Here is a 27,962-nt window from a genome sequence, read left to right on the forward strand (position 1 = left end):
AAGTCCAAGATCTATTTTTAATTCCAAAACAAGGTGTTCTTCACTTTCTTTCTTTTAATAAGGAATCAGAGGATAGCTCTGGTCATCTATCAGTAGTGAGAGGCAAGGGAGCTGAAGCCTGGGTTTGTCTTCAGATGCCAAGGCCAGACCTGGCAGTCAGACTGCTGTGGCCACCAGGGCTTGTTAGTGACATCATAAAGCCAGACCCAGAGAAAGGCTAAAATCACCCACATATGCACACCAACTGGCCACCAACAGAAAAAAATTCAGAAAACAACAGAATCGTAACTCACATTGGCCCCCAGCTTTCAGCCTGCATTCCACCATCGTATAAGTGAAGACCCGTCAGGTTAATAACTGGCCAAGGTCCCACAGCCTGTGAGTGGTAGAAGGGGAACTAGAGTCCCCTCCTGACTCTTTTGAAAGAATAGTTCAGTTATTTAGTCACTGGAAAGCTCCGTTGAGCTGGGAAAACAATCTCTCATCAGTCATAGCTTTCCTCTAAAATCTGCACCCGCACACCTGATGTAAATTGGCTTAACAGAGCTTCTTCAGGCATGATTGTCACCTTGTCTGAATAGCATGAGGTGATTCTCAGAAAAGGAAAACAAATGAGGAGTTTCTGGCTCAGTGCTGAGGAAAGTTGAAACCCATTTGGCCTTCAGCTTTTCAGCACTGCTAGTGTATCCTTTTAACGGTGATTGCTTCAACAAGCATTGTTGAACTGCATTAAGTTGGGATCAATCCACCGCACAGTTCTGAGCCTACCAATGCATGTTTCAGTGGATTTCAAAAATGACTCACTAAATCAATCTCTTTTCCTTCAAAAAGTACAGCTTGAAAACAGGGGAGTTCATCTTTTCCTGAGATGCACCCAAAATTTGAGCCAAAAATTGATCCCCCTTGTATACTGAATGTCTCTTCAATTTCTCCTCATACTTTCCCTTCTTTATTTCACTAACAGCCCCCTAACAGGGGAAAGGGAAATTCACCTTCCACTCAGGCTGTGGCCTTGAAGGTGACCTCTGACCTGGCTACCAATTCTCACTGCAACCTTTGCTGTTGTATCCAAAGAACACTTCAGGCAATGACTAGAAGAGGGGATTGAGGGTGAGGAGAGGAACGTGGGGCCAAAATGGAAGGCAGAACAAAAGTAATGTTTAAGGAATTGGGTCTGGAGAATGTTAATGGAATCAGAGTCGCCCCATTCCAGCACCATGAGCTTGCCTTCCAATAAACCAGGAGGAAAGAGGCCAGATCTGGGTGATGAGAGGGTTGGTGAAGGAGCCAAGTCAAAATATCCCTGCCCTGGGCTCTGATCTGCTCTAATGTGAAGTTAGACAGGAGTGCAGCTATGGCAGCCCTCACATGCATAGCAGTTTTACCTGAACTAAGTTAAGACTAACTAAGCATATTTTTTAAAGTTACCTAATAATCTTCCTATCTAAAGCAACCCAGTTACTCTGCTCTGATCTACCAGGAGTTGGACAGTAACAGCTGACTCTTTTTTTTTTTTTTTTTTTTTTTTTTTTTCTTTGAGAGGGAGTCTCGTTCTATCGCCCAGGCTGGAGCGCATTGGCGCAATCTTGGCTCACTGCAAGCTCCGCCTCCCGGGTTCACACCATTCTCCTGTCTCAGCCTCCCGAGTAGCTGGAACTACAGGCGCCCGCCACCACGCCTGGCTAATTTTTTGTATTTTTAGTAGAGACAAGGTTTCACTGTGTTAGCCAGTCTGGTCTCCATCTCCTGACCTCGTGATCCGCCCGCCTCGGCCTCCCAAAGTGCTGGGATTACATGCATGAGCCACTGCGCCCGGCCCAGCTGAATCATATAATGGAACAAGCCACACACCAGAAGGTATAAGTAGAATACAACTTGATTCTTTTGTTTACTACCCATTCAGACTTCGTCTACGGACTCATTCTTCCTTGCCTCCTGGATGAAATCTTTGGCACATGCCTTAATTCTTTCAGCTGGCTTTAGGCACAAGAACAGTTTCATTTTAGAAATAATTGCCCAGTCAAACATGAAAATAAAAGCCCCAGACTCTTGCCTAAATTAGATTTTCTTTCCTCCTCCAGCATGTTACTGTTTTAGACCTAGAAACACGATGTAGGCAGGAGGCATATGGAGCTGCTTCTCTTTTTTCCCAGCTGTATTCTTCCATTGCTTCTCCTTTAGTTCATAGCCAAGGTCTGACCCCTCCAGGATTGAGCCTAAAGGAGGACAGCATTAGGGGAAAGGATACAACTGAGCATGGCTGATTTGTGATCTGACATTTGGCAAATGTTAGCCCAGTTCTTTGTTTCAAGAGCCTTTGGAGGGTGACTTGGAGAACTCCCTCTTGGTGACCTCCAAACAAGGCTTCCTGGACATGGGTACTGCCTCCTCCACCAGCCCATTCTGACCCTCACAGCTCCTGGGCCCCAGCAGCCTCCCCAGAAATGCTCTCCAGAGTGGTCACATCAATGTGAGTTTCTTGGGCCAAGTATAGGTCAGCTCCTCTCCACCACCATCATTACAGATCCACACACCCCCACAGGAAATTTCACAAATGTTGGTCTTGCTACTAAGGAGATTAGATGGCTGCCAGTGCAGTCTTTTTTTTTTTTTTTCTTTCTTGTCATTGCTGCCAGGCCCATAATGCTAACCACCTCCTCAGGAACGTGTCTGACATCTCTCCCTATGCCTCTATAAACTCCACCAAAGAGCCGTGAATTTTGCAAGTGGACCTCCTAAAGCCCCTCTCTCAGCTTGAGCTGAGGGAAGTACAACATGGAAGAGGGAGGAGAAAGCCACAGTGTTCCAACCATCTTTTTTCTAAGGCATTCTCTCCTTCTTGGCCCTAATCTCTTCCTTATCCTCTAAGTAAGGTTACAAAACTAACTGTTGACCATTTCCTTTGCCAGTTCCGCGTACATGATCTGGCACTCACTTGGAATGTAGGAGTTCTATTATTTTGTTCTCAGCCTTGGCAAAACCAAGAGACAAAGAATCCCATTTGGACAGCTGGCTATGCAGTCAATGCACTGCTCTGCTATCAAATGAATCCGTTACTCAAGCCAAAGAGAGAGTGACAAAGAGAAACTCTTACTCACATAATCAACCCCTTCTACTTATACATGAAAGTCCTTGCCTTTAAAGAGGCCTCTGGCCCAATTACTTTAGATCTATTACAGATATGACGGTGTAGCATCAGGTGGCTAAGGGGATCTAATGGGATATTTTTTTTCTGTTTTCCCAGCTATGATTACTAATGGCTATAGCTGTGAACAAAGGTACTCACAACTCACATTCTCAGTGCAGAGAACTACTGTTATTGTGGCTAGCTCCAGGTCACGTTGCCATCTCTCTCTTCCCTCTCCTCTCCCCATGCTCCTCTCCTGTCTCTATCTCTCTCTCTCTCTCATGCACACACATATATGCGTGCACACGCACACACACACACACACACACACACACACACACACACAGCTTAGTGAAGGGCACCATATCAACAGAACTGGGAGGGAGGGCTCGGCTGGAGGAATGTATTCATTTCCCAGGGCTACTATAACAAATTACTATAAACTTGTGGCTTCAAGCAGTATCCATTTATTGTTGCATTTCTGGGGTCAGAAATCCAATATTGACTTCACTGGACCAAGATCAAGGTGTCATCAGGGCCGCACACCCTCGAGAGGCTCTAGGGGACAACCTGCTTTCTGGACTTTTTCAGTTTCTAGAGCTGCACTGCTAGGCATATGGCTCTGTCTTCTATCTTCAAAGCCAGGAACATATTGCTTTGTTTTAGTTGTCACATTGTCCCCATGTCTGCAATCAAATCTTTCTCTGCTACCTGTTATATGGACACTTGTGATTACACTTAGGGCCCACATAGATTATCCAGATAATCTCCACATCTCAGGATCCTTAATCACATCTGCAAGGTCCCTTTTGGTGTATAAGAGCTACAAGGATTTAAGGACAGCCTACTGGGATTAGAAACTAAATATCTTGGGGGGTTATTACTTAGCCTACTATAGAGAATAATAGTGTTTATGGAAAGAAAATTTCCTTTTCCAGCACCTTCCCCAAAGCCAAGTAAGAGAGATCTCCATAAAATTACTTGTTGTGGAAGGCACTGTTGACTGCCTCTCCCCAGCCCCAAACCACTGTTCTTTTGCCTGTTCTACTACACAGACTACAAAAGCTAAATCCTTACTATCCCAGCTGCCCCTATAGCTAATGATAGCCATGTGGTAGCATGCTAGCCAGGGAGATCTAAGTGGAAATCTTGACAGTACCAGCCTTCCCCCTTCTTCCTTGTCTCGCAGGTAGAATGTGGCAGTTCAGGCTACAGCAACCATCTTGGAGGAAAAACTCAAGAGACGGGCAGCAGCGCTGGCTCTGAAGTGTCTGGATCACGAAACTAATTCCAACAACCAACTACATCACATAGGAAGATCATTCAGTAGGTACGAGCAAGGGGTTCTGAGGTTAGGTTGATGGGGGTGGATCCCAGCTCCACTTCTCAATGGTTCTGTGACCTTGTGCAAATCACTTATCCTCTCTGTGCCTCAGAAAAAGAAAGGAGAAAATGCAAACAAATGCCAGTACACCGTAAGCACTCAACAAACATGAGCTATGGTATTCTTTTAACTCCACACTTTTAGAAGTTTGTGCCAGTTCCTTATTGAAAAGGGAATTCACAATTAAGATAGTCTTCTGTCAAAAACGTGGGGCAGAAACTTAAGTCCTGGGGGCCTGTCCATGGACAAAAGCAAACCCAAGAGTAAACAGAGTCACAGAAGTCCTGCCAGCAGCAGCTGAGAGGAGCGACTTTGAGGTTTTCTAACTGCAACACAGCAACCATACTGTTCAGCTGCATACCACCCCACATGCTGAACACACACCCTGACCTCCACATGCCACCCAGACCACAGCCAGGGTCCCTGAAGGCCCTCTCGCATTTTGCACCAACCACAGATCACATACTTACAGGAATGAGATGAGAGGATTCCTAGGAGATAAGACCTGTACTTGATTTTCTTATATCACTGAGCATCTTGCTTACCTCAGGATATGAGTGCTCTTACCAAATATTATTCAAAAATTAGGGCCAAAAAATACAGGCAAAATGACTACCCTAGGTATTAAGGGTCATTAGAAGGAGTGTGTCATTCAGATGTTCTTTCTATTTCTGGATTGCCAGAGCAAGGCGTCAAAGACTCAAGGACACAATTTCAAAAACAGAATGGACACCCAAGGAGGATAAGTGAAAAATCCAATTTTGGCCATCACCATGACATCTCATTATTGTTCCCTTTTGGTAAGATTCACCTGAAACTCTCTAGAGGTATTTTTTCTCCCCAGACATCCTGAACTGAGGCACACTGAGAAAGACAGTGAAGATCACAGTGAGAGAGGAAAATACCAACCCTGGGCACACATCTGCAGTCAGCAGAAGGGTCAGGGCATTAAGTTTGGATAACTGAGAGCACCAGAGGGGCAGAATATGACAAGTAAACCACCCAGAAGAGAGGACAGCCTGGCAAGCAATAAATTTGGCATCTGGAGAAATAAGGTTGGACAGATATGGAGAGCCAGGGAAAACAAGCAGTAAATTATAATTTTTTTTTTTTCAAAAAAGGAAGAAGGCAGTCTGATCTTTTGGGAACTTCTCATGTCATTGGGATTGTTGGCATTTTTCTGTAAGTCTAACAAGATGGTCAGAGTTAATGTGATTCTGTGAGTGTACTAGGAAAGTACCCGTGACTCTAAACCAATAGGCAGAATTTCCAAAAGAGCAGAGCATCATTCCTTTGGAATTAGTTCAGAGAAATACTGATGAATTTCATAACCGTCTTCTGGAATAGTATAGCCCAAACACTTCTTCTTTTTAATATTGCAAAATGTTTCCGTTTTGTTTTTTTTTTTTTTTTATCACAGGGAGCTAACTCAGCACACACTCACTTTATCTGACTCGTGTCGCTTGGAAGGGCAAGAGTGCTTCAGGTAAGAAAATAAAGATGCTACTAATAGGACCTGCCCATGGAGGAGCAAGATGCACTGCAGCCTCACCTGATTTATCTTCAGTAATAGTTTCCAGGAGAAGAGAGACACAGTGAGAACGAATTGCATTCTATGTAATGTTTTGCTTCAAAGGATGCTTTGGCTCATTTTTCTGCTGCTTGTACATGCTGCAAATGAGAAAGTACCTGGCTGACAGTTTGCCTTCTGATTTATAGGAAAGGTCATTTAATCCCAAGTAAGCATTTTGCTAAATAGTAAGCTCTCCCATCCTCCCCAACCCTTTCCCGAGTCCCTTTATATTTCTTGGTATAACTTGAGTTTCTGGTCTGTACCTATAGAAGGAGCAAATGAAATGTTCTTATGACTATATTGCTCAAGGTGATTTTTAGGTGTGAATTTGCAAAATATTGAGTGGAGTAATTTGAGTTTTACATATATATATATGACTTTCATGATTAGTTTGAATATAAATATGACACTATATACTTGTGATACATGTAGCTAGAATATTCATGAAATTAATCAGTAAATACTATTTGTATCAATGATATTTTCATACAATATTTATGGCATTACCAAAAACAAAAAAACTTAGACTCTGCAAAATACAGCATCAGGAAAATAAAACCCGTTTTTCCTCACTTGCAAACTTCTGAGTTTTAGAATATTTTTATATAATATTGGTTCAAGTTAAAGAAAAACTGCCTAGAATTATATTTTTCAAAGTATATCCCTTTAAATGTAAATAATGACCTATTTTTCTTCCAAGTACTTAATGATATCATTGCAATTACCAGAGACCCCAAGGATAGAAAATAACAGTCTCAAAACAATTATCTCCCTTACAGGCAGAACAAAAAAAAAAAAAACTCACTACCATCAGAGATATCAGAAAATAAATTAACAGAAACAGAGATATTTACATATCTTCAATAAAAGTACATCATCAAGAAGTCAGAGCATAAATAAAGGCAGAGGAAAACCCTTGCACTTGCCCTCAAAACAATGTGCTGAAGTGTCCAGAGCCTCATACTCTCTAATTCTTTCTATATTAAAATGGTATATCACACCTGCCAAGAGACCAAGGTGAAAGCAGAAGGTCACTGGCGATGTTTGCTGGTGTGTAATTGTTTGCCGAGCAGCAAAGTTATCAAAGAGCTGGTCCTGTGATTGGGACCAGGTCTGGCTGGTTTCGTGGTCTGGCATGGTGGTCCAGGATGTGCACCTGTCACAAACACAGGTAGAGACACCAGCCCTGGCCCAGGAAAATAGAAGAGGCAGATAAAACCACACTTGCCACCCAGTGTCAATAAAGCCCTAGACTGTCCGCAGCTCAATTCAGTGCTATTATTATTCCTCTTCAGGTTCTAAAGGCTTATTTATTTTTATTTTTTTTATTATTATACTTTAAGTTCTACGGTACATGTGCACAACGTGCAAGTTTGTTACATATATATACAAGTGCTATGTTGGTGTGCTGCACCCATTAACTCATCATTTACATTAGGTATATCTCCTAATGCTATTCCTCCCCCCTACCCCCACCCCACAACAGGCCCCGGTGTGTGATGTTCCCCTTCCTGTGTCCAAGTGTTCTCATTGTTCAATTCCCACCTGTGAGTGAGAACATGCGATGTTTGGTTCTTTGTCTTTGCGATCGTTTGCTGAGAATGATGGTTTCCAGCTTCATCCATGTCCCTACAAAGGACATGAACTCATCATTTTTTATGACTGCCCAGTATTCCATGGTGTATATGTGCCACATTTTCCTAATCCAGTCTATCATTGTTGGACATCTGGGTTGGTTCCAGGTCTTTGCTATTGTGAATAGTGCCGCAATAAACATACGTGTGCATGTGTCTTTATAGCAGCATGATTTATAATCCTTTGGGTATATACCCAGTAATGGGATGGCTGGGTCAAATGGTATTTCTAGTTCTAGATCCCTGAGGAATCGCCACACTGTCTTCCACAATGGTTGAACCAGTTTACAGTCCCACCAACAGTGTAAAAGTGTTCCTATTTCTCCACATGCTCTCCAGCACCTGTTGTTTCCTGACTTTTTAATGATTGCCATTCCAACTGGTGTGAGATGGTATCTCATTGTGGTTTTGATTTGCATTTCTCTGATGGCCAGTGATGATGAGCATTTTTTCATGTGTCTGTTGGCTGCATAAATGTCTTCTTTTGAGAAGTGTCTGTTCATATCCTTCGCCCACTTGTCGATGGGGTTGTTTGTTGTTTTCTTGTAAATTTGTTTGAATTCTTTGTAGATTCTGGATATTAGCCTAAAGGCTTATTTTTAATTCAAATAACTATTCTCAAAATTAAATTGAGCCCATTTTCAAAGCCAAATTTCATGAGACACTGCAATCCAAGACAATACTTTACTCTGTATAAATGTGTTCCCTCTCCTGCTTTCTCTTGATGCAATTCCATCAAAGCTGTTCAGTTCTGCAATTCTATTAAGACCATTATTTGTCTTACATTTGACATATCCCCTTGGCTTGTGTATTAGCTAACCTGGGGGGAAAACCTTCCCTGAAGGTATTCCTGCCTTCTGTAATAAATCATTTCAGATTTCTCTGTGATATCTCCTCTGATATTTTGTTAATTTGAACCTCAGAAGATCTTGTGATTTCTGGGGTTATTTTACCCTTCATAATAATGCGGTCGCTTTGTATCAGAACAAATCTCTAAAAATAAGTTCAATTTTAGCATTCACTGAGTTATGCTAATTTCATAGCACCTGAGAGTTTCAGTTGTTCTCTAAGGAATGGTCATCTATCATGTTTAACTTGCTTTTCAGTTATTTTCTATGTTAAAAAAAATACATGTTTGCTCTTTCAGCCACAGCAGAATCATCATTGTACTTCAGATATCTAACTGCCATAATGAACATTCCCAGACTAAGAGCAGATCACAGTTCAGTCTGGGGTCTGTCTTTCCCAAGTGTGAGCCTGAAAGTGAGGTGACAGTTTGGTAAAATATACCCCTGACATCCCCTCTACCGACTGAGTGATAGTGATCTTCAAAATTGGACATGGTCATCTCTGAGGGTAACAGAAAAATATCTAGGGAGTGTGAAGCCTATGTTTAGATCCTCAATTTCTTTATGTACACATTCCTAAAACTGATTTTCTTGAAATAGTGCTGGAGGTCATACGGGTCCTCACCCCTTTTATAATATACCTTTTCTTACTTAATGCTGGTGCATTTTCTCAAGTGGTTGTACAAAGAGAGAAGATAAATGGTCTTATAAGCAAGTCACCTTAACAACCTCTCTCAATCCAATTCATTATGGAATGCATTCCCCCTACGATTTTACTTTCATGGGTAATAATTTATTATAATTTGTAACAAATGTACATTGTTTGACCCATTGTATGTGAGAAATAATTGTAGTAAGTCAATTTAAAAGAAAAATGTTCACATTTTAGAACCCTATGATCATATGAATTTTTTTAATTTAACTTTATGTATTTATTTTTGTTCTAGAGAATTATGGTGAAGTGAAAGGCTTTCAAACATAACAATATGTTACATTAGAATGCGTCACTGTATAGAAGGAAAACAGAAATATGATAGCTAGACTAAGAAAAAAATGATGCAAGAGTTTCTAGTATTAAAAAGGTGCTTCTTCATGCATTTTTAAAACAGATGATGGTGGAAATCAAATCACTATGGAATTCATATATTTGGAATTCAAATATTTGTTAAATATATTCAAAAGAGTGATCTGAAAGTTTTATTCAAGATGTCAATATTTGCCAAATACTATTATAGAAATTATATCCTTCGGAACATTTAAATATATAATGAAAATGTTTAAGTGACAACTTTAAAATGTGGAGGAGAATACCTAAGTTGAACACTATTGTTATATATCCAGGTATCTGTTGGCGAGAGAGAGATTGAGATTATCTATACTTGCAAAGTGATTGGCAGATCACTTCTGACACTCACCTAAAGGTTAAAAGTATTAAGTCTAGAAGAATGAAATCATTTTACATTGGACATGTTAATGCCAAATAATCCAATATAAATATGAATAATTTGAAAAGGCCATCTTTAGTCAATTTCCACTTATTACGTCCAAGTCAGTAGATCCAATGTAACACAATTCACAGTTGGCTTAGGCCCCTGTCGTTTTCACAACACCCATGAGGGGTACTATATTAAAAGAACAGTAAGCAGACGAAAGAATAGGTCAAACCAAACTGAAAAACTGAAAAACCAAACTTACAAATGAGAAATACTGTTATGAACATATGCATAAAATGTTATTTAAAGATGTCAAGATAGAATGTTTGCTACAGAACATGGATGAATCTGACAGCCTAAATTCCTTTATTTCTAAACATCTCAGTTCATCTCTTCCTCCTGGGAATCTAAGCATGTCAATTCAAGTGAACTGGGCCATTCACAGAGGTTTATTCTCCCTCCTCCCCAACATACTCAGATTCATTTGGGTAAACACACAGTCCTTATCCCTCTCATCTTCCTTCTTCCTTTCTCCCTTGGTGTGATCCATGGGCTGCATAGACATTGACTTTTGTAGAACCCTGGCTTCAGGAGGAATGGGGTATCTTGTTCACTAAAATTCTCTGCTCACACTGGCTTCCACTGAGATATAATTTGCCTCATGTGGGTCTCCAGTGGTATCCAGTATTAAAGTCTGCAATCTTGAACTAGCCTCAGATGGCCAGGTCATACTGTTTGAGTCGTTCTCAGCCTAACCATGAGATCTATGGAGCCCAGCTGTTATCTTTTGATTGTTCTGTACCTCACATAGGGGCACTTGGACACTGTTATGAGCTGAATTCTGTCCCTCCAAAATTCACATGTTGAAGTTATAACAACCAGTACCTCAGAATGTGACTGTATTTGCAGATAGGGCCTTTAAAGAGAGAATTCAGGTAAAATTAGGCCATGGGTCCTAATCCAATATGACTGGGGTGTCCTTATCACCAACAGACACAGAGACACAGAGGGAAGACTATGTGAAGACGCAGGGAGAAGACAGCCATCTACGAGCCAAGGAAAGAGGGCTCAGAAGAAATCAACCCTGATGACATCTTGATTTTGGACTTCTAGTCTTCAGAACTGTGAGAGAATACATTTCTGTTGTTTAAGCTGCCCAATCTGTGCTATTTTGTGATAGCAACCCTAGAAAACTAATACAGGCACTCTCAGCTGCTCCCCTTGTGTTCAGGTGGTAGCACGGAGGACTCAGCTTGTGACCCTCAAGGTATTCAGCCCAAAAATACCTCCCTCAGTCAGTGCCGGTCCACTGATCAGCACCTTGTGAAGATGCGGCTGCTCTCAGAGGCTTGCATATGCCTGGATATCCCTGGGCTACTCCACTCTTGAAAAATCTCCAACATATTTAATCTTTGGTTTCTGCTCCTTTCCTCCCCACCCTCAACTTGTTTGACAGTTTTAGCCCGGGACTGTTCGTGGGGGGGAACAAAAAACAAACAAACAAAAATGGATCCCAGACTCCCTTCACAGACAGTATGGCCAAGGACTTATTCCATCACTTTGTCTTTCACTAGACTTTCCTTCTCCTATTGGTGAATTTGACCTTCTTTCTGAATGGCAGGAAAAGTTGGCCAGAGATAGTCTTCTAACCCCATTGTTTATGCCAGGACCTGGGTTCTTGATTTTCAGTAAGTCTCTTCTCTCAATGCTGTCTTCCCAACCCAAATTTACAAAAATATATTTTAGAAATTCAAAAGCCAAGAATTGGACTCTTGGGACTTTTTGTTACTTCAGTATTATAGCTTCCACGAGGGCAACGTGAATAGTGAGCTATTGTTGCATACTGAAGAGCGAAAGTAGCTCATATCTTCCATTCATTCATCCATTTTCTTCAACAAATACTTATTGAGGCCTTACTTCATGTCAGGCACTGTTTCAGATACAAGTGTAAACAAAGATATGTCCTTACCTATATGGACCTAACATCCTGGGGCAGGGAGAGTGGCAATGGCAACAAATACATATATAAATATATATATATATATATATATATATATATATATATATGCACATATGAGAGTAGCAAGTGAAGAAACACAAAGCAGGGAAAGTGTCCAGTGAAGGGGTTCCTGGTGGTTAGGAAATGTCTCTCAAAGGAGGTAATAGTTTGTGTACAGACCTGAAGGGATTGGGGGAGTAAACAATTTTAATTTTTTGGTCAGTGTCTTCCTAGCAGAGAAAACTACAAGTGCAAAGCTCTGAGTTAATGAGGTACCTGTTGTGTTCAAGGAACACCAGGAAGGCCAGCATGGCTGGAACAAATGGGCCATTAGAGGAATGTGGTCAAAAGGAGATCTGGGTGGCAGGGGCAACCCTTAGAACCCAAGGAACCAGAAACCATGGGGTTGAAAACTCTGTTAACTTTATTAAATATTAACCTACTGAGTTTACATCTTATTAAAGTATGATAGCTTCTACAAGACTGTTTTGAGGGAGAAAAAAGAGGAGTAATGTAGCTACCAGTGACAAGAAAGGAGAGTTGATTGAGTTAAAGATTCAGAAAAACAAGGCAGATGGAACAAGAATTTGGCTGAAATGATTACAATACAAAAATACTCCACCCTAACAAGTATGGGGCAAGCTCAGGGCTATCATGACTGTCACTCAGGCAGTGTTCTAGACAAGGATACCTGGGCAAGGAGGTGAGTGGGGTTGAAATCCAGCTGCCTACCGTTTGCCATGCCGCACCGTGGTACAGGGCTGCATTCAACTGGATGTGTTTTCTAATTCACATCAGGGTGCTATATAGGCTTGTATAGCCCTAGATGTACTGTGCATTGCTAGTGGAGCAGCAGATTCCCCTAGAAACCTATGTAGCAATATGTATCAAGAGTCTTAAAATGTTGAGTGCTTTTAACCCAGTAATCTTGATATTAGGAAATATTTTCTGAGTTCTTTTGCATGACTGCCATTATTCCATTTTTGCTCTGCACCCTACATTTTACAGAGTTTATGGCTATCTGGTTTTGGGTTTTCTCTTTGCTCACCCTCTGCCAATCCTTTCCTAGCCTGACACACAGTGTGGTATATGTGGATTTGGCATTATGCTATGTAAATAGGCTAACTAGGCATCTAAGGTGAGGCAAGAACCACATCTACATGCAGACACCCAAAGCCAAAATGTTCAAACCAAGGTTAATAAATCCAAACACCATCAACAGTCAAAGCATAAAGCAAGCTGAAATGGACAAGTAGGCGGAAAGTCCAAAAATACTAACAAGTAAGTCTGAAGGAAACAGCAGGTAATCCTGTGCACAAGGGCCCAGATGAAATCTTGTTCAATGGCTGGTTCTGTTCTACCATCCTTTATCTGCGGTGGGTCCTCATGTTGGTATCCCAAGCCTTAGGGCACTGTGGCCCAATCTCTTACACTTCACCAAATATGAAAGAAGAAAACAGTAGAGGATAAACCATAGAGGCAGCAAGCATGCTTCATCTCACAATCTAACTCCAGTTGCTTGAAATGGCTCTTTGCAGCTCTGTGTGAATGTGGATCATGATTTGTCCCCCATGAGTGAAAATACAGAGAGCAGCGTCATTACTCCTCAGAAACAACCCTTTCTCTAATATACGCACCACCTCTCCTGCTGCTCAGGAGAAGGGAAATCTGTTTCCAGGGATGACTTAAAATGGGGTAAGAGCTGCTGGGTAGGAAAGCCTAGTATGGAGAGAGTCTCAAGATGTTCTGTAAAAACTGCAAAGTGGGGATTATAGTAACCACACTTTTTATTTCTGTAAATGATCTTTTAACATTTACAAAATAGCTATTAGTTATTATAAAACCCTGGCTTACCCAAACTATCTGGAGACTTCAGATAACCCCAAACCACATACCTTAACAGTTGCAGTGAACGCAAATTTCACAGGAGTGCCACGTTCAAACATAGCCAGCCAATCCTAAGTCCACATACTCTGCCCTGCCCACCCCTTCCACAGAAACCACAATAATGGTATTTGCTCATCATCCTGTCCCCTCTCTCTGCCTCCTGAAAGACCCTGGTACTTCCTCCTAGTGACCCTGTATGGCCTGCTATGTCCTCCCCAGGGAACTGTGAGTATAATAAAATTGGGAAACTCTTTCCAGTTTCTCTCTCTTGATCTGCATCTGACCTCATCATACCTCTCCCAAGATAATATGATTAAAACAGGGGGCCAGGTGTGGTGGCTCATGCCTGTAACGCCAGTACTTTGGGAGGCCAAGGCGGGTGGATCACTCGAGGTCAGGAGTTCGAGACCAGACTGACTGACATGGCAAAACCCTGTCTCTACTAAAAATACAAAAAAAAAAAAAAATTAGCTGGGCATGGTGGCGGGTGCCTGTACTCCCAGCTACTCAGAAGGCTGAGGCAGGAGAATCACTTGAACTCGGGAGGCGGAGGTTGCCGTAAGCTGAGATTGCACCAGTGCACTCCAGCCTGGGCAGCAAGAGCAAAACTCCACCTCAAAAACAAAAAAAAACCAAAAAAGCAGGATGGGGTCCTTTTTCCTCAGAGTCCCATGACTGTGAGAAAGCCATGGATACCTAAAGAAAACAGAGGTTCTATTAGAAAACAGAGGTTCTATTAGCAAAGACATGGTGGGGAAGAAGGGGAGATTATGGGTTCAGAAATGGCAAACACAATGTTTAGTTCAAGTAGCAGGGAACTGAGGCAGAGAACAATTAACATTTAAAAAATACTGTTAGGAAGACAAAATAATAGCCGAGTGGACTAAAATTAGTGAAAAGAAACAGGTAAATTAAGCAAATTGGCCATTCAGTGAATTGTCTTTCAGCAAATTAACCCATAACGGATATAATTGGTAATAAAGAAGGAATGGAATTTAACAAAGATTTAGTAATTGTCCCTGAGGGATGACCTAACAATTGCAAATGTTGGATGTCATTGTAAACAAGCCTTTTAAATTTTAAAGATTACTTTTAAAGCAATACAGTGAGTGGTTAGAGTGTAGAGATCATAAATACATACCCACAGGACAAATAAAAAAAAAACTGTCCTAATGTTACGCAAATGGATTCTAGTGGCTTGGGATAAATTTCCAGTGACAGGATCATGCATGATTCACAAAGTACTGTATCTCAAACAACTTCAGTGGAAGTGAAGGTGACATGCCTAACAAAACTGCATTAGAGCATTCAAAAAGTGGCTATAGTGATGATGAAGACATGGATGTCAAAGATAAATGTGAAGAGCATGAAGAAAAATGAAAGTTAAAAAAAAGAAAAAGGTCTTTAAATGCACATTATTTTATCTAGCGTAATTTTAAACATCAGCACACCTAAATTAAATATAACAACTATGCTCTTGGCTGTTTTATCTATATCTCTTAATGTTTATTTATTCAAGTTTGAAAAACAAGTTGTTCCATCTTCTCATAAGGAAACCAGAAGATTAAGGTCACTTTATGGATAGGGCTTACAGTAAGCAGGTAGTAGGAAATGATCAGAGTCATGTGATTCCAAATGACAAAGAACATGACTTGACCTTGGAATCTAGGAAAGCTCTCTGAAGAAATGCTACTTAAGGGCTGACAAGATCAAAGGGGAAAAGGAAGGCTGTTCCAGAACAAGTAACTAGCAGGCACAGAGTCCTGGGGCAGAAAGAGGCCCGCGCTGGGAACTGAAAGCAGGTTGTGGAGCAAAGGGAAAGAAGGGGAGTGTGGAGCAAGATGAAGCTGGAGGCATTTCAGAGCCATGAGAGATGCTAATCATTTTGTCTTCATGTAAGAGTGAAAAGAAGCTAATAAAGAGGTAGTGATTGCAAGTGGACCAAACATGAGATGTTGGCAAGTTAGTAGATGATGGCCAGATCCCAGATCACACAGTGCCCTGCAGGCCACAGAAAGAATTTAATGTGGTTTGGTTTTGGCTTTAGTTTTGGTTATTGTGTTTTGTTTTGCTTAAGTGTGATGGGAGCCACCACCGCAAGGTCGCAGTGAAATGATCTGACTTACATTTTAAAAGCAACAATCCAGTTGCTGGATTGAATGGCAAAAGGGAAGGATAAAAAAGGGGAAGATAATTGAGAGGTTATCACCCTGGTCCTGTATTACAGGCAGAGGCTGGCTGCATGGGGGTAGCAACAGAAATGAAGACAAGTAAATGCAGTGAAGAGAGGGAGGGAGGATTTACAGATGCCTCTTAAGATTTCTGCATTACCAGGATGCTTGTGCATGTCACTGAGATAGGGAACACTGGGAAACAACCAGCTTCGAGGTGGAGAAAATCATGAGAGGTCAGAGCGTAACTGAGCGTAACTGAGGTGGAGTGAGACTTCCTTCCTCCGTGCCCGTCTTTCAGTGGCAGATGGACAATAGCATGTTAATGTCCTATATATTACAGGTATGGAGACTTTCATTTTCCATGTACCTCATAAACAAAGGAAAGTTCCAGGACACATGGTAGAATCACCCAATTTGCTCCATGGGAGGTGGGGTTTACTGTAATTTTCACCTCATGTTTGGAAAAGAAGGAGATATTTACCATTTCTTGTAAGTATACTGAAAGAAGCCTTGTGGTCATGACCATGCAATAGTGCTTTATTGGACACTTGTGGATCAAGGATCTGAACCGAAAACAGAATCCAGGGAAAGGTGCTGATGATCCTAAAAACTCCTGATGACCCTAAAAACTATCTTTTTTCAGAATAGAAGGCTAGTTTTGATACAGAAATCAAGAGCATGGGAAGGAAACTTCTGTTTGTTTGTCACCTGCTCTGCTGGCTTCTCATATGGTTCAATATTTCTCCTCCATTAGGAATACTGTAAGATGACGCCTTGGGAGCAGATGGAGAATGTCTTTGTCTGCAACACTGAAGCCACAGAGCAGTAAGCCAACACTAACACTGGGGACAACCATCCACATCTGTGTCACTCCCACAGATGCTGAGAAGACAACTCCCAATATGGGGCAAATGCATGGACTTGGGAAATGTCCTTTCTTGTGGGAGAAGAAAAAGAGAAAGTACACTTCTGACACATTCAGCAAACAGGGAGTTAAGCATACTGGGCCGCCTTCCCTAATGTGTGTGTAGTGACACAGTCAAGGAGGTCACCATGGATACATCTGGCTGCATCTGCCTGAGTTATTTGTATTGAACAGATTGCTACAGGGTGTTTTTTTTCTGGTCCCATTATGTGCATGTAATGCCAATTAAATAACAGAAATGAAAATTAAAAAAGAAAATATCTGCCCCTGCTGGGTTTAATCTCATTAGCGCAAAGTCAAATGATTAGTCCCAAAAAAAAAGGCTCCAACAGGCAGCAAAGACAGCAGTAAAGCTGCAAGTATCTTTTGCATCACACCGAGAAAATGAATCAGAATTGCTCACTCAGTTGAAGACACCAGAGCCTTTCCTATCATAAGACCATGTTATGGCTTGAGGACTATTGAGTTGGGTCTCTACCTGAATGAACAACAGGGAGACTACCATAGCACATCCCAAACTTCAAATTAATAATAAAAAAAATTGCTACGTCAGCCATTTTAAGGACAGGTGTCGTGTTTCCTTGGGTGGATTGTAAAACTTGGCAGATGTTTACTTTATAGTGCTCTAAGACTAACATAATCTTTAAGCATCAGATTATTTTTCAGATTAATCAAACCTTCCAGCTATAATGTTGCCACCAGAACTGAGCAGCTCTCGATTAAAATGCTAAATAGAAGAGTCTGCCCAATTTCAGGCTCAAAGTTCATTTAAAATGAAGGGCTTCAGCAGCTTAGAAGTACACCAGCAGGGGGCTTATCCTCAGCTAAGCCTCAGGTGGAAAACACCAAGTGTTCCCTCCCTTCAGAAAGTTTGAGAAATATCAGCTACAGCTACAGGATATTCCAAGGAGAAGACCTGAAATGGCCAGCTGTGTAAAAATGACCAAGCCCAGGTTTTCCTCAGGGACTCACTGACATTTACTTTCAAAGTACTTTATCCCCTTTTCTCATTTTACCTTCACCCTGAAAAGCAGAGAAAACAGAAATCATGTCAATATTTTAGGTGAAGAAAGCAAGGTACAGATGAGAAACCCAGTTCTCCTGACCATCTTTTAGTTAATTGCTCCACCAAGCCCTCCAGGGGCCAGTCAAAAGGAACCAGGCACAGACACATAATCATCTATCTTGAAAAAACTTCAGCTGGGATGAGGCATGCACCATGCCTCATATGGTGCTATAAAATGACTTACTTTGCCTGCCCAGGATGGAGACAACTGGACATTTTCCCAGCCCCTAACCAGTGAAAAGTAATCTTCCAGATTAAGCAGTCTTTAACAGAGGTCCAGAGTTAGACCTCAGGAGGCCTCTGAATCACCTTACATAATATGCAAACATGTGTGTTTGTGTGTGTGTGTGTGTGTATGTGTGTGTGTACATGACTTCTGAGAGAATGTAAAACTTTCATCAGATATTGTACCTCTCTGACCTATAAAAAGTTGAGTCCTGATCTCTACAGATGAAGAGACCCACACTTATTTTGAAAAGGCTAAAAAGAAAGCCAGAGCTGCCTACATGAGTGTGGGTAGTCTCTATTCAAAGCAATGGAGACCCCATGAGACAGGACATTCTCAAGGAGAGGCAATGCTCTGGAATGGGAAGATCATAGGATTTTGGATTCAGATAGATATAGGTTTGCAATATTAACCATGTGGTCTTCATCAAGTTACTAAACATGTCTTATGTTCAGTTTCCTCCCCCATAAAATTTTTAAAAATGAAAATATTTAAAATAATGTAAATAATCAGTCCCAACTTTCAGGGTTGTTGCAAGGATTCAGTGATGAATCAGCGATAAATCAAGTCCCTGACAAATGGAAGATTTGCAATAAATGTTGGTTTACTTCTCCTATTTGGCATCCTTGAGAAAGAATAAGAATAAAACCAAAATACAGATTTGACTCTGCCTGGCAAGCAATCAAGAGAAGAGGATCAACATGTGGCCTGACCAGAGAAAAGAGAAGAGATATGCAAGAACTTCACAAAATGAGTTAAGAACAGGGCATGGCGCCACATGTTCTTGGGCCAGCCCCAGCAGATGGGATCCTGGACAGCAGGACTCAAACCCAAACTTTGGGACTTCAGTCCAACCCTCTTCCCACGTTTCCTCCATAAATCCTGCTTCCACATGCCTCTGTTGTTTCAGTTTTGCATTCTCTCCCTCTCCATTTAATGATAGGGCTAAAAATAGTTTGCAATTAAATACACAAATCTATTAACTTGAAACAAAAAAGGTAATGTGCTTATATAAAATAATTTCTATATCACAAGCCAACTGTCAAAGCAAAATGAATGAGCCAGCAAAGAGGTCATTTGCACCTGTAAATAATTCTACATGGAATTGCCAATGTACAGTGATGGAAACACTGTCAGGGCAGAGGGGGACTCTATGCTGAAAACATACATGACAGGTATCCTTCCTCCCCACTCCAATTTTGGTGGCTGTTGGTCATCTAAACAGTACATTCCAACATGTTCTGCTCTCTGTGCCCTGGATTTTGTAGGATAATTCTTATTTTACATGGTGTAACAGTCCCCTTGCCAGAGTAGCGGAAGCTAGAAGGCCCTTGACATTCATTGGTCCTTAGAGCAACTGAAGGTCAGAAGCCTGCCCCTGGGTGGGTGTGACAATGAGAAACTCTCACCTTGGCCAGGGGAGGAGAGATAGTGGAGGGCATGACCAGGAGCCCCAGCTTCATGGCTTCTGAAGAGTGTAAACTAGGGTATGCACTGAAATACAGACCAACATGTGTCTTCACGCACACTGGCACGTCCCTGCACACTCTTGGGCAAATATTTTATTTGTCTTTCACAAGATAACTAACACACAATGCTACAAATTATAAAGTTTTTTTAAATAAATCAAATAATGATATGGTTCTCCCTTTTCTTCCTTTTGCAATATTCTCATGGTGATGTGTTTTAACTTATGCATGTTTATATACTTTACTTCATCTGTACATTTCTTTAAACATTTCTTACTGAAAACAAGCAAATTAGCCCATCAGTGGAACAAAAAACTGTGTTTAATCATTATACATATAAAAATGAATATTAATATATAGTGATAAAAATTTTATATTTATATTATATGTAAAAATATAGACATACAAAATATATACATAAATTAATGTATTCTTAAAAATCCAGTCAACATTGAATGCCCTGGCTTATTCAATAAAAAAAGTAATAGCTAAGGTGCCTAGATTTATTAGAAGCTGCATGAGAGTTACTCACATTGTTTCCTAAATACATATTGATCCTTACCTCTTCCAGCTCATACAAATGCATGGACACACGCCTACCCTGGAATTAAAGTGACCCCAAGATGGCCAGAGTGAGTACCATTGCTCATTTCTCTGGTGACTGTCAGAGAATGAAACAGCAGAGGGACAGAGCCTAAGGAGATTTGAATTGACTGGAAAAGATGAGTCTAAAAGCACTGGGTTCACCAAGATCAGGGGTGGGGACAGGAGGCAGAATGGAAGGCAGGGGCTTAGACCCAGGCTCCTCCTGGCAGGTAGAAAACTGACAGAAACCACAAGGCAGAGAGAAAAGAATGAAGGGTAGCCATGTTCCCTGTCTTCACACAGCCTCTCACAGTGGTGTGGCCTGGACACCACGTTTCCTTCTCCTTTCTCAGGCTGCCCTATTCTTGGTACTCTGATATATTTGGATATTTTCTGGCTGGTGAGACTGAGAGAAATTCGTCCTCTTCTCAATTTTGTTTTGTTTTGTTTTTCAACACAGTACTCAGAAAGTTCCCATTGGATCTATTCTGGTGCCTGAAACTTGGAAAATTTGACATGCCATGCTTATTGATTTGGAAATAGATATTGTGAAGGTAAGTGACAGTGATAAGCTAATATTTTCTACCTTGCACATAGCAGGTGCTAAGGAAATATTTACAGTCCTGGTGGGATGGGAGTTAGTTCTTGTATCATCAGAACATTCTGACATCAGTTCAATTACAATCTATGTGAAGCCAAGGAGGATCCTTTAGATCCTATATTAAATTTTTCAATAGAAATTCCACAGTCAGCAAATTTGCCTCCAACAAGAAAATGATTGTGTCACATTTGTTCAGTCATGTGGTAGCAGAGAACAATAACGTCTCTGTATACAACTTTGAAATGACCCCCCAGGAAACGCCAGTGCAATTGGAGGACTCAGACTTCAAATCGACACCGAATCCCTTTTAGAAAGAGGCAGTAAATCATATACAAAGTAAATAAAGAGAAATTTATCCAACATATAGCATTTGGAAAAGAAGTGGATCTTGGGAATTAGCCTAGGCTAAGGAATGATAATCACTCTATGATCACTAAAAATGTTTCTGGGGTTACACAATCAAGCAGTCACTGACAGACATGAAGTTTGGTGGCCCTTGGTATGATACAATAGCAAATGGCTAAGGTTGGAGATAATGACAATACAACCACAAGCACCTTTTGAGCACATGCTCTACACCAGGAACACACAGGATAATTTTCAATACATGTTAAACATGTATTAGATATGCAACTCGAGTTATTATTAACTTATTTAGTCCTCACAACAACTTTAAGAGCTAGATACCTTTTAAGGCACAGAGAGGTTAAGTAACACGGCCAAGGTCATACAGCTAATAAATGTCAGAGCCAGGACTCAAATCAATCTGGCTGTCTGATCCCAGAGGTATACCTTTATTCATTCTATGCTATCTTGGGGATGTGTGTTAATAGCAAACTTGCATTTAAATACAATTTAGCATGTATGATCCTGTTGATTCTTATAAAGCAATCCTTTCAGAGGATAAACTGTGAATAACTTTAAAGAAACTGCTTTTAAAAAAATCTTATTTCCTAGTCCTGTTTATTCTTCCCATGAGCACCATCTTCCAGAAGAGGAACATTGGAAATAACCATACATCAGACACCTGAAGCAATGGCCTCAGAATATACAGTATTAAGTAATCTCAAGGTGGGTTAGTACTCAAACGTTTAATGTTTCATCACCAGCAACTTTAGCCTCTATATAACCCTCCTTGGAAGAAATACAAACATTTATTCTCCTGAAAGTATAAAGTATTACATTTAACATGTATTGAATATAGCCCCATTTTATTCTGCATTCCTTTCATCTGCAACAATCAACTGGAAGTATAAAATGCATGTGCTCACTAGGGAACTGAAGAAAATTAATTCCCAGCAAATTTTGTCAATGACTGTCACTCACTTTCTTGCTTAAAGGATTGTTCTGTTGCTGCACAGACATATCATTAAGTGTTGCTGTGAAAGAAGATAGATAACACATTTCTATTTTGCAGGACTCAAGTCTAAAGGGAAATCAGATCTTGCTTAGTATTGTCATAGTTGCATAATTGCCCTTAAAATCCAGCTGTGAGTCGTGTTCCTACACATAGTTACGTGTGACCCAAGTCTTTTCTGAGCTGAGTACATGAATACCCTCTTCTCTGGCTCAATTATGTGACAGCTGCTCACAGGCTCTGTCGTTGTAACCACTTCAGTTCATTTGTTTCACAGAAAGCACAATATCTTTGATCAGACTAAATCACTCCTAGAAATATTCTCCTTGAGGGCAGGAAATCTAGAGTTTACTTTATGGATCTTAGGATGTTATGTAAATACTATACACTCAATAACTAACGACTGAATGAATAAATTGTTTAACTCTACTACCCGTGGGTTGATAATCTATCATTTCTTTCTAAAAGTCCATGGCACTGCAGCAAATTTGTGTTATGCTTCAGTGCATCCCTATATTTTTCTTGCCCAGTGATGCTTTGCTAAGCATAAGACAAGGGGCACAAAGTGCTTCATTTCAGTCTGCCATATGACAGGCGCTTAAAAATATTATCCAGGAGTAGATGAGCAAAGACAGTCATCTAATTATATGATTTGTTTTATAATGACCACTCTAAGTCCTCTGTTCCAGCTAGCCCTCAAGATGTGAATTCAACTTTCATTCAAGTCTAACTCTCCCAGATTGACCAGGCAAGAATAAAAATATCACAAAGGAACTAAATCCTCAGCTATGACGGACAGTCTTGGCTACCAAATTCAGGAAATAAATTTTGACTGCAAATGTTTCAAGGTACCCAAGAGAGAGTCTGCTGAGGCAGACGGGACACCATGGGAGGGAAGAGTAGTCATAAAGGAAAGGCACTTGGCACATAAGAAACAGATGGGCCCGGACATTCTCTACCTTCAATTTTTGTTCAGCTGAACACAGAGAATTTTGTAGTGTCATCCTAATCACAGTAAATCCAGAGCTTGTGAACATCACAAAGGATACATTAAACTGTTTAGCTGTTTCATTAAAAATAAGGGGTTGCACTCAATAAAACACCCCAGAAAACGGCAATGATTTTGATTTAATCTAAAAGGTTGTTGTCATGGTGCATACCCAATTATTAATTAATTATCTACAAACAAATCCAGAATTACTATCATTATCCCAAACACCTATTACATTGTAACTACAAACTCAAACACAAATTTGGTCACGAAAATCTGCATAAATACCGAATACGCACTTCAGGAATTCAGTCTCAGAAATTTTATTCTAAAAGTCTGAACATCACATATATTTCTGGGAGATTAAATTTCATATATCAATAAATTATTGAGGCACAATCTCTACCTTTCCCAGAATTCAGAATAAAATGAAAGCAGAAGAAAACTTTTGACTATACAATTTCAGGCCCTGCTCTACCCAACAGAAGTACCACATTCATTCAGGAAATGCAAAAGGAAATGGTTTGATATTAACCCATCAAGCAAGCTTCAAGTAATCCATCTGGACATCAATACATTACTTGCCTACAACAGGCACACCATTCTGAGTTTTTGGTTTAAGTGTATTCACCATAATGAATAGGGAAAATGTCAACAATCTGAGGAGTCTCCTTTTTCTCTTCCCATGTCTATAAGAATTAGGGGAAATCACCTGAGACAGGAATTCTATCTGAGTCTGAACTCTTAAGGGTGGATCCATAGAGGAACATTGATCCCAGTATTTGACTGAGGGTAGCAGCAACTCACCTAACAATGCCGTCAGCAAGAGGAAAGCTGAACAGTTAATTACCAGTCTGGCTTCTGAACCTAAGGGGAATCTTAATAGACAGAACTAATTAAAATCAATACTCATATGGTAGTTGTGAAAAGGAAAAAAGGCTCAAGATAAATTTTTAAATGGAGAAAAATGACCAATCTCAGTTCTTATGTCAACCTTGCTATCTGGCTCTCCAACAAATGTTTGCCCACAAGTCATCTTTCTGGGAAGGCCTAAGCACTTGAAGGAAAAGAGAGCGTATACAAAGAAGCCCACATAAAGTGTTTCCTGAGCCCTAGGTAGTGTGGTCAGAGACACTGCATTTGTGAAGACAGAGTCATGCTCACATTAAATATTCTGATGCCAGAAAGTGAGAAAATTTGGTTTTAATTCTGACTATGTGACCTTGAGAAATTTAATCTCTCTAGGCCCCAGTTTTTTATCTGTAACATTAAAAAAAAATGATCTCTAAGATTCCTTCAGTTGTGTGATACCATATACTGTATCTCAGAGATGCAGATGGGAGCCAAGAATATATAAATTCAAATATATAAGTGCAAATAATAGGCATCACATTAAAAATATAATGTTTATATTTCTGATTTTCCTTTAAAACAGAAAGAGTGTGTCATATCATGTTCTTCATTCATAGCTTCCCATACTAATGCATAACCTCCAAGAGATATGTGGGGTTTTTTTTTTTCATTTCAAAATATCTTTTGCAAAGTGATAAATGAAAGCATAAAATCATGCCCAAACTTGATTATCACACTGTATTCTGGATTTTCTTCAGATGTTGTAGTAATGTTCATTAAGGGCAGATTCTGGTAGAAGACAAATCTTCTCAATTTAGGCAAAATTGTCCCAGCACAAGATTCCAATGTGACTGAAATAACATTTGAATTTTTTTTTAACTTAATAATGTGTACTGATGCCAGCCAAGGACAGTTCTCCATGACCATATAACAGGATGATAAGAAATGAAATTGATGCATGCATGGTAGCTACGGGTGGCGGGGGGTGGGGAAGAAAGGTTTGTTTGTTGTTTGTTTTTAATGTATTACTCAGTTTTAAACTGTTAAATTTTTTACTTAAAAAATACTCATGGGGGGTCGGGCATGATTGCTCATGCCTGTAATCCCAGCACTTTGGGAGGCTGAGGCAGGTGGATCACAAGGTCAAGAGACTGAGACCACCCCGTCCAACATGGTGAAACCCCATCTCTACTAAAAATACAAAAATTAGCTGAGTGTGGTGGTGGATGCCTGTAGTCCCATCTACTCGGGAGGCTGAGGCAGGAAAATCGCTTGAACCTGGAGGCAGAGGTTGCAGTGAGCTGAGATTGTGCCACTGCATTCCAGCCTGGTGACAGAGCAAGACTCCATCTCAAAAAAAAAAAAAAATACTCTTGGTAAAATATTCAAATAGTACTAAAAGAAACACAGTGAACAGTTAAGTCTTCTTCCAACTTCTGTCCCCTAAAATCCTCTCCCAGGGGCAGCAGGTAACATTAGTTTCTCATGTAGCCTTTCAGGGGTACATTACGCATATACAAATGATGCATATATAGGGACTCTCTCTTTTTAAAACACAAATTTAGCATACTTTACACATTGTTCTGCATATTCTTTTTCAACTTTAACATATATCACAGATAGTGTGACTTATCATTACATGCCTCATTATTTTAAAGGCATGTATTTAATTTTATGGATAGACATACTTTACATAATCAGTTCCATACTGATGGGCATTTAAGTTGTCTCCAATCTTTTGCTATTACAAGCACTCATTAAATAAATATCCTGGGACATACTTCTCTGTGCATTTGTGAATGTATCTGTGGGATACATCACAAAGATAGAATTGCTGGGCTATGCGTGTGTGCATTTGTAATATTAAGAGATACGGCAAAATGTCTTGTGGAAAAATTATATCAACTTACATTCTCAAAACTGAAGGATAAGTTTGCTGTTTCCCACATCTCTACCAATAGGGTCTAGTATCTTTCTCAAAATCTTTTACCTATGTGGGGGATAAAAAAAGTAATCTCTTGTCATTGTTTTATTTTGAAATACAGTTATTATGAGAATAGTTGTCCATCTCTTCATGTGTTTCATATCACTGTTAAAGTTAACAGTGATGGCCATAAGATTATGTCTTGCAGACCTCCAACTACAAGGGGCACAACTGACCAAGAGTCCTAGTTGCTGTCCTCTGCTCCCTGCCCATTACTGAGCATGGCAGAGATATTAGGCAGGCCCATTCCTGAGAGACACAAGACTCCTCAGAGGGTTACATTGGCTCAAGGGTCCTCAACAACCTCGCAGAAGTTTCCTTAGACTGTACCCTTGGTCTGAAATGCTTTTACTCAATGTTCCTTCCCTCTCTCTTTCACTTAGGGTCAGATTTGCATCGTGGTCTAAGAACCTTCCCAGCCTTTAACAGATTCCTCCCCATTTCCTCTCAATTCCCCTTGCACATTTAATCCCCTATTGGCATCTATTTCTCACTAGACCCAGACTAACAACACATTAGCTGTTCTTTGCTCATCATTTTATTGTCCCATTGCATGTTTCCTTGTTGATTTATAGGCATTCCTAATATAATAATGATTGGGACCTTTTCTGTCACATGTGTTGCAATTATCTTTCCTTAGTCGGTTTAAATCTTTGGCTTACTTTGTGATGTCCTTCCCATTTAGAAACATCTCTAGAATTTCTAGGTGATGCATGGGAATCTCTGTATAAGATGTGGGTATAACTCTTCTCGATCTGGAGATCTAGACAGTAAGTTGTAGGCCCAACTCACACCAATATACAAAAGTGAAATATGAGGAAGTGTGGGAGACCCACAGCAGTCACTGGCCTGCAGCCATCCTAAAATTCCTCTGAGTGGGCACAGCAAAGGTCCTCCACCCCAGGGGTGGAGAATGCTCCTTAAATAGGCTGCAGTTTTGCTGTATGGGAGAAGCTCTCCAAACATCACTGTCCATAGCCCTTGACTCCCACCCTCTAGACACTTTTTTTTTCTTTTCTATTGTCTTTAATACAGATCTCTAATACAGATGTTGAAGAACATGCCCTCAATGAAGGCTGAGAAACTTTATTGATCTACTTCTGACCAAAAGTCATTTTAGGTCTTCAATAGTCGATTTCTCTTAGTTCAGGCTACTGGGTCTTATGACAATACAACTCTCCTGAAAACTTAACTTTGTGGCTATTTGAGGCCTGTAGCCTCCTTGTGCCAGCAGCTATGCTCATGGTTCTCTCCTAGATACACTTAGATTTGCTGTATTTCTTTGCTTTCCCATCCCCATGCCTCCACTTCATTTTCTCCGCCTCTCTCTCTCTCACTGTCCCCCCACTCTCTCTCTCTGCATATATATATATATATATACACACACATATGTATTTATATGTGTATGTGTGTGTATGTGTGTGTGTCTATATATGTGTGTATATATATAGACACACACACATACACACACACACACACACACACACACATATATATATATATACATATACAGATATGTATTCTGACTTGCACATACCTTAGGTCTATCTGGCTAGAGAGTGAGAGCCATAACTTTAGCTTTCACTCCTCCATGCCATTTTACCTTATCGAAAGGATTTTGGGGGTATTGCCTCATCAGTTGGACCCTTATTCCAAGACATCTTAATCCATCCAAAGCTTTTAACAATGTATGACAACCATACTCTTGATTTGCTATTTGCCATGAGGATGGGTTTATTCAGCCTTCGTTGTCCAATTTTCTCTTTTACAAGTTGAGTTTGAGAAGCAGTAGTCTCTTCCAAACCCACAAGTCTCTCCAAATTTCTGGACTCCCTCTCTTCCCTTGT

The 27,962-nt window shown here is 40.4% G+C and overlaps 2 long non-coding RNA genes across 2 annotated transcripts in view; both read left to right on the forward strand.

Annotated features, from left to right (window-relative positions):
• Positions 1-141: 141 nt before the first annotated feature.
• Positions 142-6,052, forward strand: LINC02216 (long intergenic non-protein coding RNA 2216). The gene is made up of 5 exons (NR_183313.1): positions 142-349; positions 1,703-1,857; positions 4,317-4,457; positions 5,195-5,311; positions 5,932-6,052. It is a non-coding gene; the product is annotated as a long intergenic non-protein coding RNA 2216 (long non-coding RNA).
• A 14,798-nt stretch (positions 6,053-20,850) lies between these two features.
• Positions 20,851-27,962, forward strand: part of LINC02215 (long intergenic non-protein coding RNA 2215) — a 31,905-nt gene continuing 24,793 nt past the window's right edge. The window contains exon 1 of the long non-coding RNA NR_104998.1: positions 20,851-20,884. This is a non-coding gene — a long non-coding RNA (long intergenic non-protein coding RNA 2215). The remainder of the gene's footprint in view (positions 20,885-27,962) is intronic.

The sequence above is a fragment of the Homo sapiens genome, chromosome 5, assembly GCF_000001405.40.
Source record: "Homo sapiens chromosome 5, GRCh38.p14 Primary Assembly".
NCBI classification, from domain to species: Eukaryota; Metazoa; Chordata; class Mammalia; order Primates; family Hominidae; genus Homo; species Homo sapiens.